This window comes from Homo sapiens, chromosome 4 (genome assembly GCF_000001405.40).
Source record: "Homo sapiens chromosome 4, GRCh38.p14 Primary Assembly".
NCBI classification, from domain to species: Eukaryota; Metazoa; Chordata; class Mammalia; order Primates; family Hominidae; genus Homo; species Homo sapiens.
This window is the reverse complement of record NC_000004.12, coordinates 26,478,625-26,491,600: the sequence shown is the minus strand read 5'-3', so window position 1 is coordinate 26,491,600 and position 12,976 is coordinate 26,478,625. Positions and strand designations below refer to the sequence as shown.

Here is a 12,976-nt window from a genome sequence, read left to right as displayed (position 1 = left end):
GGGAGAAGCTGTCTTGGGATCTTCACAAGACTTTGTCCTTCTTGTGGTTCAGTCTCAGATCACAGTCCCCTCCTTAAGAGACCTCTCCTGACTACCCCTTCTAAATCAGCAGCCCCAGGCCAGGTGCAGTGGCTCACGCCTGTAATGCCAACACTGGGAGGCCAAGGCAGGAGGATTGCTTGAGCTCAGGAGCTTGAGACCAGCCTGGGCAACATAGCGAGACCTCCTCTCTTCTAAAACTAAAAAAATCAGCTGGGCTTAGTGGTGTGTGCCTGTAGTCCCAGCTACTCAGGAGGCTAAGGTAGGAGGATTGCTTGAGCCAGGGAGCAAGGCTGCAGTGAGCCATGATCGCGCCACTCCACTGCAGCCTGGGGAACAGAGCAAGACCCTGTCCCCGCCCCCCAAAAAATCAGCCCCTAATCTGTTTGTATACATCACATCTCCCTGCTTTACTCCCTTTGTAGTACTTACTACCTGAAATAATTCTGCTCATTATTTGCTGACATGCTAGAAAAGTGCCTGGCAAATGATTGACTCTCAATGAAGATGTGCTGAATGCAAGGCTTCATGAATGAAGAGGAAATCTCACTAACGTCTTTTGTAATAAGGACCCAGGTACCTATGTTCAAAAGTGCCTCAATCCTAGTTAACAAGGGCAGAGACCACGAGAAACAACACTGTGTTTAGTAGCAACTTAACAACCAGCCAGCAGTTCTGTCCACACACACACCACCGGGCATGGTTCCAAAGCTAAAAAGGCACTAATTGCTTTTCTATAAGGAGGTAGAACACAGTCCCTCCGTGTTCTTTAGGCCTGATGGTCTGCATTATCGGATCTGTTACCGTGTTAATTGTTCCTGTCTCACACAGCCGGTTTGGGCTTTCTTCTGCATATGTCTGGGATGGTGACGGGTTCCTATATAGAGGAGTACTGGGGAAGCCTCTGTGTGTGTGTGTGTGTCCGTGCATATGTACACATGTGTGTAAAAAGCAGCCACACGCTGAGAATGGTTAACGGGTAGCCAGGCTGTCTGTACTCAGGGCCCTAAGACTGGCCCAGGAAAGGGCCGGGGGAGGTGGGGCGGGGTGAAGGTGGAGCGGGCTTGGCTTGTGCTCACTGCCTTTTCCACAACAGGAGTACAAATGCTGGAGTGAGTGAGGTGAACTCAAGTCGCCTTTAGGAATGGCTGAAAAAGCCCACACCTGGAAATCACTCCCTCCCTGCTCCTCCACGGCAGGTTGCATCTGCGAGACGCTTCGGTCATTAGAGGAATGAGCCGGGAGTGAGCAATTCACCAGCTCTCCAGCACTTGGTGGAAAGCAGCAGGCAAGGATGGATGTGGTTGACAGCCTTCTTGTGAATGGAAGCAACATCACTCCTCCCTGTGAACTCGGGCTCGAAAATGAGACGCTTTTCTGCTTGGATCAGCCCCGTCCTTCCAAAGGTAAGTGTCGGAAGCTGTTATTTTAATTCAGGAAACTATTGAGTTGTGGGAGAAATCAGCAAAGGCAAGGCTGATAAAAAATATATATAACCAAGTCATTGTGAGACAAGGCTAGATAAAGTCATATGTTCAGAAGTTTGGAGAAGAGATTAAAAAGCAGAATAGAGTCAAATATTCTTATTGTCCCCCATGGGGGAGTTGGGCATTCATGAATAGGACTTGGGGGAACAAAAGCAGGGGAGGAAAAGCTGAGTGAAGCAAGAGGGACTACAAGTGTCAAAGCCTGAACTTACAAGCACAGCAGAAAAGGTGTTGTCACCATGCAGCTGTTTTCTTTTCTTGGGGGGAAACCCAGCATGAAGTGATTAAAGTGAAATAATGCTTAGCAGCCAGGAAAGAAAGTGATCACTGTTCACTTGAGGAGCTTTGTTCTTAAGAAAAAGTGGTTCCCTGAGTGATCCTTTAACAAACCAACCTTCTAAAAAGAAAATAATTCAGTCTCTGCTTTCCTCAATTTGTTTCCGCAAAATGTTGCCAGGACAGGAATCGTGGGTCCAGTGATGTACACCCCGGTGGGGGGAAAATCGGCAGGAATTCACCCTTGGCTTCGGTTTTAGCATTCTGCTGTCATCACCTCCATCCCTCCGTCTTGCTCCTGTTTCTCTCTGCAGAGTGGCAGCCAGCGGTGCAGATTCTCTTGTACTCCTTGATATTCCTGCTCAGCGTGCTGGGAAACACGCTGGTCATCACCGTGCTGATTCGGAACAAGCGGATGCGGACGGTCACCAACATCTTCCTCCTCTCCCTGGCTGTCAGCGACCTCATGCTCTGTCTCTTCTGCATGCCGTTCAACCTCATCCCCAATCTGCTCAAGGATTTCATCTTCGGGAGCGCCGTTTGCAAGACCACCACCTACTTCATGGGTAAGTTGCTGCTGGTGACTCTTTCTGGAGCTTGCCCCAGACCCCACTCAGCCCCAGACCTTCCCAAACCTCTGACAATCACAGCAAAGGAGCCCTGCTGAGGGCTGAATCACAGAACATCAGGCTGTGCATGGCTGTGTGCACGGACATTGGTGCTGGCTTGACAGTCATCCTTATACGTTCCCCACAAGTCGGTCCCCATCATCCATGTTGGAGGTCAGTTTCTAAGAGTGAAATAAATTGATAGGAAAACACAGGGGCAGTTGATTTTGCTTGCTTCTATTTGAAGGGAAGAGGGACTTGCTTGCTTCTGTTTGAAGTCAGAAGTGACTTTAAGCTGCTCTATCCCTTTCTGGAAGCTGTTGACTGTGTCCTGATCTATACACAACTTGAGTCCTGGCTTCTAGGGAGGGTGAGGATGATGGAGGAGGGTTCTTTGCAGTTGTTTCTTTTGTTTTCTTAGGGAACAGGGGCTATTTGAAAACCAGTTCTATCGCAGTTTCAGATTCTCTTCTCAGGATTCACTTCCCAGCCTGTTCTCCCCAAAGCTGGGGCCATCTCTGGCAGAAAGAGAGAGAGAGAGAGGTCTCTGCCCCTAGATGAGGAGTTGAATTTGCTCCTGGGGGCTATGGGGTCGCTAAGCTGACCCTGATTGGCTGAGATATATAGCTCTTTGCCTATGCCAAACAAAAATGATGATAATGAAAATCATAAGAGCTAAATTTTTTTAGCGCTTTTATGCACCCCATGTGGTACTAAGTGCTTTGCCTTCCATGATCTTACCTTATCTCCCAACCACTCTATGAAGTAAATGCAATGATTCTTCCTTGTCTCCCTAAGGAGGAAACAGAGGCACAGAGAGGTCCATAATGTGCCTAGAACCACACAGATGGTAAGCAACAGAGCTGAGATTTGAGTCCAGATTTGTAGCCACACAATGGTGAGCATGATACCTCAGTTTGCCAACTGCTGTGGTTCTCTTAAAGTTGAACAAAAAAACACATTTCTTGGTCCCCTCTGGGTGCCAGATTGCCTAGTCCCTTGCCCTTTCTGAGAATTAGTTGGGAGAAGGGCAGAGATGGGAAATAAGAAGGGAGTTATTTTTTGTTCTGACCCAAGCCTTGCAGAATATGCAGAACTGAGTTAGGCTAGGGCAGTCTTCAATGACCAGAAAGCCTTATAAGTCCTCATTTTTCCCAGTTGAGGAAGTGGGATTCCACACTGACAAAATGATGGTGAATTACTGACCCTCGTGCCACCAAAAACCAAGAATGTGTCAATCCATGTCCAAGTCCTCTGAAAAAAAAAAAAAAGACAAAACTTACAAAGGAAAAAGATCGTTGTTAAATAATGAAGCAATAATAATAACTAGCACTGTAGACATCCGAGGCCCATCCATATATATCTTATGGTAATACTATTTGGGAACCTTAACCAGAGAATGTGAACCGAGATTTTAAATGAGTGTTTTCATGGTGGCAAAACATTGTGAGTGCCACAGAGTTGTTCAGTTTGAAATGAGGTTAATTTTATGTTATGTAAATTTCAACTGCATAAAAAATATTTTATTGGGCAAAAGAAAAGCAACATCATTCTGAAAGTATTTGCAATACCATAATAATTTTGTTGGATTTTTAATTCCAATAATTTAGGCTCTTCTCTTAATTTTGCAGTCTCCTCAATACTAATAATTAACATTCATTAGCTCCTAATTTGTAGCAAAAAGAAAAAGAATGCTTGCCTGCCAGTGAGTTTATAGTTATTGATGATCCATTATGCAGAACTGAGTCTTAGAGATTTTTGGGCCGTACTCTTCACTCTAAATGTCATCAACTCTTTAGAGTAAAATCCAGTAAAACACAGCAAATCCTATCCCCAGAACATGAGTTTTTAGTTAATGGTTTGGGGGTCATAGACTTTTTTAAGACTCTAAGGAAAGCTAGAGCTAGGCTCCCTAGAAAAATGACATTTTTGGATATAGTTTCAGAGAATTAGTTTATATCCATAAGAATAAGGAGAATCTAAGGACCCCAGTTTCAGGACCTCTGCTCCCAAATTTATATTAATTCTGAGGTTTAAGAAATCTTGGTAAGAGATATTCAGAAGAATTGACAGAATTTATAGCAGAAGGACTCTACAGGGAATTTTAAGGGAATAATAGGACATTTTAATAAGTATGCATATACAAATACAAAAATAATGGAAGTTAAGCTTTTTGGGCAATGCCGAAGCACATGATTTTGTTCATTTTTTATTTTAATTTTTTTTCCATAGGCCATCTAAGACCAAGAAGTACATGATTTATTTTATTTTATTTTTGAGATGGAGTGCCGCTCTGTCGCCCAGGCTGGGGTGCAGTGGTGCGATCTTGGCTCACTACAACCTTGGCCTCCCAGATTCCAGCGATTCTTCTGCCTCAGCCTTCCAAGTACCTGGGATTACAGGCACGTGCAGCCATGCCTGGTTAATTTTTGTATTTGTAGTAGAGATGGGGTTTCACCATGTTGGCCAGGCTGGTCTCAAGCTCCTGACCTCAAGTGATCTGCCTGCCTCGGACTCCCAAAGCGTTGGTATTACAGGCATCAGCCACTGCACCCAGCCAAGAAATACATGATTTTAAATGAGGTGCATTTAATATCTTCCTCACTGTAATGGTGATGCTTGCTCATTCTACAAAATACAGAAAAACAAAAACAATAAGACAAGAGACTTTAGTCCCCAACCCAGAGAAACCTTTAGTTACTGTATGGGGCATTTTCCCTCGTCTTTTTTACTACTTATTTTTTCAACAAGCTGCATTTTGAAATATAGATTGTTTCACTATTAAGAACAGTATGTACTCAAAATTTTTAGAAAAAACCTTCATGCCTCCGGCTCACATCACAGTGACCTTTCAGGGTCACAGAGCCCTTGAGAATCTCGGGTTTTAAAAATCATTTTAACTATGCAGACGATACTCAAAATTACAGCTTTTCTTCAGATTTTAGAGAAACCTCTTCTGTGGGGGCAAGAATGAATTTCATCCCCTTGGTTATTAATTAATGAGCACCTTGAGCCTAAGCAGGTGTTAGGTGATAATCAAAGCTCAATAAACTTATTAAAAATTGGCAATGAGATATATTTACAAAGCCATTTCTTTAACTGCCTTAAACCCTTTCTGGAACAAAGCTGAGAATAAATCATCTTTTAAAAATATACATACACAATATTTCTTTACCTTCCAAGCGTTTTCCTTTGATATCAAACCTGTGCAGATCAGATATATTCAAGCTAATGTGCAAATAAACTTTGGATTTCAGAGTCAACATAACCGGCTTCTTTGTTCCTTTCCCAGGCACCTCTGTGAGTGTATCTACCTTTAATCTGGTAGCCATATCTCTAGAGAGATATGGTGCGATTTGCAAACCCTTACAGTCCCGGGTCTGGCAGACAAAATCCCATGCTTTGAAGGTGATTGCTGCTACCTGGTGCCTTTCCTTTACCATCATGACTCCGTACCCCATTTATAGCAACTTGGTGCCTTTTACCAAAAATAACAACCAGACCGCGAATATGTGCCGCTTTCTACTGCCAAATGATGTTATGCAGCAGTCCTGGTAAGGTTGCATTGTTTATTTTTAAAAATACAGCTTGATGTAATTTTGCAATATCATGAAAAACTGAGATGCCTTGCCCAGAGTGGTTGGGGGATCAGTTTCCTGGAGACGTTTTGAGAAGGTCTTTCTAGCCTCGTTCTAGGATAATCACGATAGCAAACACTTAGCTGGCGAGCTCTGTTTTAAATGCCATGCATATATTCATTCAATCAATCCTCTGAAAACACTCTAAGATAGGTATTATTATTATTGTGTCCGTTTTGCTGTTGAGGAAACTGAGACTTGGAAAGGTTAAGTTTCCCAATTCACAAACTTAAGGAAGAGGCAGAGGCTCTGTGCTTAATCATTATGCAGTATGCTTCTAAATGCTGTAGTGGAGGGTTAGGCTGATTAATTGTAGAGCTATGATTTTCTTTCTTTTTCTTTCTTTTTTTTTTTTTTTGAGACGGAATTTTGCTCTTGTTGCCCAGGCTGGAGTGCAATGGTGTGACCTCGGCTCACCACAACCTCGACCTCCCGGGTTCAAGCAATTCTCCTGCCTCAGCCTCCTGAGTAGCTGGGATTACAGGCATGCACCACCATGCCCGGCTAATTTTTTTGCATTTTTATTAGAGGTGGGGTTTCTCCATGTTGGTCAGGCTGGTTTCGAACTCCTGACCTCAGGTTATCCACCCGCCTCGACCTCCCAAAGTACTGGGATTACAGGCATGAGCCACCGCGCCCGGCCTTCTTTTATTTAATAAAATCTTTACTTTAAAATAGAGATTGGGTCTCACTATATTGCCTAGGCTGGTCTTGAATTCTTAGGCTCAAGTGATCCTCCCGCCTTGGCCTCCCAAAGTGCTGGAATTACAGGCATGAGCCACTGCAGCTGGCAATGATTTTCTAAAGAATTAAGACAGAGCAGGGAATGAGTCCCAAATCCCACATGGTTTTTCTTAGAGCTGCAGCAGCTCCGGTACTTACCCAGAGCATTTTACCAGAAATAAAAACGCAAGTTTCTAATACTGGTTCCTTTGCTTACTAACTGCACACCTTAGGCAAATTCACATAAGCTCTCTGAACGTCAGGTTCCTTATCTCTATAAGGAGTTAACAATGTGGATATTTTAAAAATCTACCTCATTGGGTGGCTGTAAGATACCAAGGAGAGTATGTTCATAAAAATGTCATTATAAAAAAGGCTACACAAATTGCAGGGTATTATATTTACCAATTGCAGGGATGTTTTAGAAGCAGGGAACTAGACATTGAGTAACAGCCCCAAACTGAGATCATCTCTGCTTTTTTTGCTTTCCTCCTTTCATTTCAACCAAGTAGCACACACACAAAGGAATTACGTTGCAAATGAGAGGAATATTTCCAAGGCTTGAAAAGGAATCTTATCAAAACATGTCAAATTGAAGTGAGAAATGGCCCAGCCACCATGAGCCTCTGACAATTTTATGGCCTAATCGTGTAACCTCACACATGCCAGACTGCAGAAGTGATTTAGGGGCCAGACTCATAAAGAAGGAGGCTGTGATTCTTCAGTAATCAAAGATGTTTAGAAAAAGCATAGCTCTACCCAACCAGGCACTAGAATGATGATGCCACTATGCTAGCCTCACAGGGTCATGGAGAATGGACGCCCACGTAAATGTTTGAGCTGCTTATGGGTTGGAAACAGCCAGAATGGCATGTTTTGTAAGACCCAGAAGGTTTTCCATTGTCCCCACCTAAGCATTTGATTACTCTGTTGTTTGGCAAATGGTATACCGTGATGCTTAAAAGCATAGCTTCTAGGTTCTGGAATCATATTTTGGGGGTTCAAATTCCACCTCTGCTACCAGCTGTGTGACTTTGGACAAATTATTTAATCTCTTTAAGTCTCAGTTTCCTCCTCTCTGCTGTAGGTATTAAGACAATAGCACCTACCTCAATGGTTATTATGAGAGTTAAATGTAGTGATGTATGTAAAATGCTTAGCCTATATGTAGCACATAGAAATCCTCGATGTATGTAAGTAATTTTTAAGGGTTTTTAAAACAGCTTTATTGAAATGCTATTCACATACTCTTATTTTTTAAAGCTTACATTCTTTTTCATACATAGACTTCTTTCAAGCACAGAATTACGCCAAACTTTTCCAATTAAACTAGTCCTTCATCAGAGACTTCATCTAAAAAAAGAAAAGAAGTAAACAACTTATAATGACTGAATCTCCAGACATGAAGTTGCCAAGGATATTAAATACTAGTAATTAATGTGTTTGCTCAGGCCAGTAAAAATAAACATAAACCCTATTCATTCCTTCCCATTTGAGTTTGAAGGTCTAAAGTTGCTGGTTATTGGATTTCTTTTGATTTCATTAGGCACACATTCCTGTTACTCATCCTCTTTCTTATTCCTGGAATTGTGATGATGGTGGCATATGGATTAATCTCTTTGGAACTCTACCAGGGAATAAAATTTGAGGCTAGCCAGAAGAAGTCTGCTAAAGGTAACTATCTTGTAGCTGTGTGTTTATGCCAAATGAGCACAAAAGCTTGTTTTCTATCATTTAAATAGATATACCCAGAGTGTACGTAAAGTTTGTTGGAAAAGCTTTTAAGTATTCTTATGAGATTCTGTGTCAAGAAGCACAGTCACGGGCCCAGTATTTCATTTTCTTATCTGTAAAATGGGGAAATCATTCCTTTCAAAAGCATTCTGAGTGGAATAAAGTAACCCACATATAACCCAATAACAAGCCAAGGCCTTTTCTGTGCCAGCTGTTCTGTAGTGCTGTATTCAAACAGACCCCTTTCCATAACCAGAGCTACTTGTAATTCCAGCCTGTTTTGTGTCTCTCCAAAGGTACTGGAGGGGATTTGATTCCTAACCCACAGCCGGCTTTTTGTTGTCTCCTCCTCATCCTCTCTCCTTTTTATTTTCACCCTGCAGTGGCCACAAAGCCTCATTCCTTCTCCATTCATTACAATCCACTGTCCATGAAAATTGACCTTGACACCCTTGTTGACATAGCTTTTCCCTTCTCACTCCATGCCCTAACTCAGCTGTCTACTACACAGATAACTGAGTCTCTCTAGCTTCTTTGGTTTTCATGGGATTTTTTCTTCTTATCCAGATTCCTCATCATAAAAGCAATCTGGAATCTTACCCAGCAAGCAGGAACCTTCCCTCTGGGGAGCTAATGAAGGAAAGGAGAAGAGTGTGAATATTCATTCTTTAATAATTTTTTTCTTGTAACCTACATCCATAAGATGTTGTTTTTATTATATATTTTATTCATTTTAAGCAGCATTTCATTGAAGGGAAGAACTAGTATAGATCAATGCTTACCCATATCAGTGTAAGGCCAGGTTGTCTGCCATTTCTCAGTTCCTGTTTGGTTTGGACTTCTTGATGGAGGGGAGTGGGGGCTCCATGCCTTCTACCGGGCATGACCCATCCCCAGCAATGAGTGATGTCTCTTGCCCACCCAGAAAGGAAACCTAGCACCACCAGCAGCGGCAAATATGAGGACAGCGATGGGTGTTACCTGCAAAAGACCAGGCCCCCGAGGAAGCTGGAGCTCCGGCAGCTGTCCACCGGCAGCAGCAGCAGGGCCAACCGCATCCGGAGTAACAGCTCCGCAGCCAACCTGATGGCCAAGAAAAGGGTGATCCGCATGCTCATCGTCATCGTGGTCCTCTTCTTCCTGTGCTGGATGCCCATCTTCAGCGCCAACGCCTGGCGGGCCTACGACACCGCCTCCGCAGAGCGCCGCCTCTCAGGAACCCCCATTTCCTTCATCCTCCTCCTGTCCTACACCTCCTCCTGCGTCAACCCCATCATCTACTGCTTCATGAACAAACGCTTCCGCCTCGGCTTCATGGCCACCTTCCCCTGCTGCCCCAATCCTGGTCCCCCAGGGGCGAGGGGAGAGGTGGGGGAGGAGGAGGAAGGCGGGACCACAGGAGCCTCTCTGTCCAGGTTCTCGTACAGCCATATGAGTGCCTCGGTGCCACCCCAGTGAGATGTCCCCTGACCCTCCACCGCAGAAGGAAGGCAGGGAGGAGGCAGAGAAGAAAGAACGGAAGAAGAGATCAGGAAGAGAAGGAGCAGAGCTGATGGAGAAGGAAGGCTCCATCTCCAGTGGGAACTCTTCAAGGTCTGCTTTTCATCCTTCATCTGGATTCCAGAGCACTGCTCCAGTGGGGCCATGATTGGTTTCTAGGCAGTTCAAAGCAGGATATGTTAAGTAACACTCACCATCAGAAAATCCTCAGCAGGCCAGGGACGGGAGTCCAGCAGGGCTCATACTGCAAATGGAGTTGCCAGCACATGTTCAAAACGGAGATGTGGGGCCTACTGAGCTTTCAAACCTTCTAGAACATCCAAGGTGGGCTCTCACTCCTCCTGTGACACATTTCCATGCTCTGCTTTTTCTGCTCATGCAGAATTGTGGCGGTTGCTCTGCCTGCAGGGAGCCCATCACCCTATCATGTATCCGCTGTAGCCTTCCACCTCATTGTGACCACAAAGGGAACAGGAAGCAAACCCTCTCTGGCCATTTTGTCCTGGGTACGACAGCAGCCTGATTTCTTCATCTTCAGGTTGGCCAAGAACATTCGGAGTCATAAGCTAGTTGTCATCAGAATAGCATAAGCAATGTCTGAAAGATGGAAGTTTGAACTTAATACTTACTTCTTTTCTTTTCTTTTTTTTTTTTTTTTTTTTTTTTTTTTTGAGACTGGGTCTGGCTCTGTCACCCAGGCTGAAATGCAGTGGTGCCATCTCAGCTTATTGCAAACTCTGCCTCCTGGGCTCAGGTGATCCTCCCACCTCAGCCTCCATAGTAGCTGGGATTACAGGCATGTGCTACCATCTGGCTAGCTGTTTGTTTGTTTGTAGTTTGTTTTGTAAAGATGGGGTTTCACTATGTTGCCCAGGCTGGTCTCAAACTCCTGGGCTCAAGTGATCCTCCCACCTTGGCCTCCCAAAGTGCTGGGATTATAGGCAAGACCCACCACACCCAGCCTTGAATTTAGCATTTCTAAAGAGAAAAGAGTACAAGGCAAATAGCTGGATGGAATGCTATCTTACTTTAAGGAATGTTAAGTGGCAGAAGGTGCATGGGAATATTTTTTCTATTTTAATGATATATATTACTTAATTTCTCCTTTATATGGTGATATTAAACCTCATGACTTCTTTGCCTCAACTCAATTTCTCATATTCATCTATATTTCTGTCTTCCCAGAAAAGATCTCCGGGAACAAAGGAGCATTGTAAGTTACATCTACCTGGCCAAAGGTAGAAACACGTATAATCAGGCCCAGAATTAAAACCGGCATACTTGGACTCAGTTAACAAATAGCTTTTGAATGTCAAAGCTGTCCATGCCTTTAAATGCAATCTATATGCTTGCTAATAATTTGCTAATTTTATGTATACGTGTAAACAAAACATAAATTATGTTCTTTACATATAAATATACTCTTTGGTGTTCTTTAGAAAAAAGAATAGTTATTTTTTTTTATAGGAATAGTTATAGGAATTCAGCTAGTATTATAATTTTACATTCCTTCATGACAAAGTTTCATGCGAACTTCATTTATTAGCAGAATTAGTGTTGAAATATCTCTCCTCTAATTTAGAAATCTCAAATAAGATACAAGCTGTACATTCAGACACCAGGAAGTGCAGTTCTAGAATAGTGTGTATCAGTTCAGTCTACCAAGACTTCTTTCTCACTTTTTTTAGAGCAACACTGTCCTGTCTGCTTACACACATTAACGTGAACATATTTGACAAAAGCAAGTTTGCCTGCTAGTGTGGGAAGCAAACAGGAAACAAACAAACAAACAAAACCACCGTTCATAGTTTCATGCCTCTAGGCATCAGGGAAGTGAGCTTTGCTTTTTCTTGTTTCCATGGGGTTATGGCCATCCATTGATCCAGGCCTGATGTTCTGTGTGGCACACAAGGATTTCAATTCTCCAAAAAATTCAATGTGGAAAGGGGAAAAGGAAAGAGAGTGACAAGAAGTGATGATGAATAGCATAACAGATATGTAATGGGACAAGATGTGAGTGTCACATTTTTGGAGGGGGGGATTGTCACCTGCTAACAGAAGAAATTATTGAGTGTGTGACTAGTGCAGGGGACATTTCAAGCCAGATTGTTCCTCAGACTGCAATCTAATTTTACTATCTGTCACTAGCCACCTCAGTCAAAGATTTCAAGGTAAAAAATTCAACTGACTCAAACACGCACTGCTAAAATGGTGACAATAAAGGGTGTGAGAAATGAAAATCTCTCCAATATTTGAGTAAGCCCTACATTATCTACAATTTTCCTGCCAGAAGAATAAGTCCTTCTTTCTAGCAGTGTTAGCATATAAATGAAGATAAATTAGGCCCCCCATTATTGGGAAGCTCTGGAAGTTCCAAAGGCCTGTTAACCTAAAAATAGCTGCTAAATTCTAACTTCAGGTCAGCAATGAATAGCTTTTAGGATGACCACATGTCATGCACTAAAATACATCCTGTATTTTATCTGGCAACCCTACTTTAAAATATTTTTAAAGCACATAAAAAAAGTTACAAAATTTTTAAAAGCACATAAAAATAAAAACAATTTCCCAGATACAGAGTGGTAAAATGCCTCTATTCACTAAATTTATTGGAAAGTCTTTCATGTATGGAAGCTTGTTTTAAAAAGAATTTTAAAAGGCATTAACTTCTAGAATCTTTGTCCTTAAGACGGTCTGATTTTACTTTTTTTAAAAATTGACATAATTCTATTTTGTCAGTACTTTGTTAACTGCCTTTATATCATGCTAAAGTAGAATGCTAATTTGAGTTTGAAATACGGTGGCTAATAGAGCTAAGAAAACACATTCATCATCATTCTCTGGTATTTTCTAGTGTCTTCTGGTAGCTCCCACTCATCCCCAGAGTAGCCAGGTAGAACTTGAACCCTGGGATGGAGACTTGGTATCTTTGCTCTTCAATTAAGCTGCGTGTCTCAGTGGCTTCCTGTAC

General features: G+C 42.7%; 1 protein-coding gene across 1 annotated transcript; it reads left to right on the top strand.

The window, feature by feature from the left end:
• On the top strand, window positions 1,117-10,205 carry CCKAR (cholecystokinin A receptor). Its single transcript, NM_000730.3, has 5 exons — window positions 1,117-1,445; window positions 2,117-2,368; window positions 5,703-5,964; window positions 8,318-8,445; window positions 9,431-10,205. The coding sequence occupies exons 1-5, from the start codon at window positions 1,334-1,336 to the stop codon at window positions 9,961-9,963; spliced, it is 1,287 nt and encodes a 428-aa protein (NP_000721.1). The 5' UTR covers window positions 1,117-1,333; the 3' UTR covers window positions 9,964-10,205.

Coding starts and splice junctions, on each gene's coding strand:
- CCKAR (NM_000730.3), top strand. CDS start 1,334: ATGGATGTGGTTGACAGCCTTCTTGTGAATGGAAGCAACATCACTCCT. Junction 2,369..5,702: donor GACCACCACCTACTTCATGG/GTAAGTTGCTGC, acceptor TTCCTTTCCCAG/GCACCTCTGTGAGTGTATCT. Junction 8,446..9,430: donor CCAGAAGAAGTCTGCTAAAG/GTAACTATCTTG, acceptor TTGCCCACCCAG/AAAGGAAACCTAGCACCACC.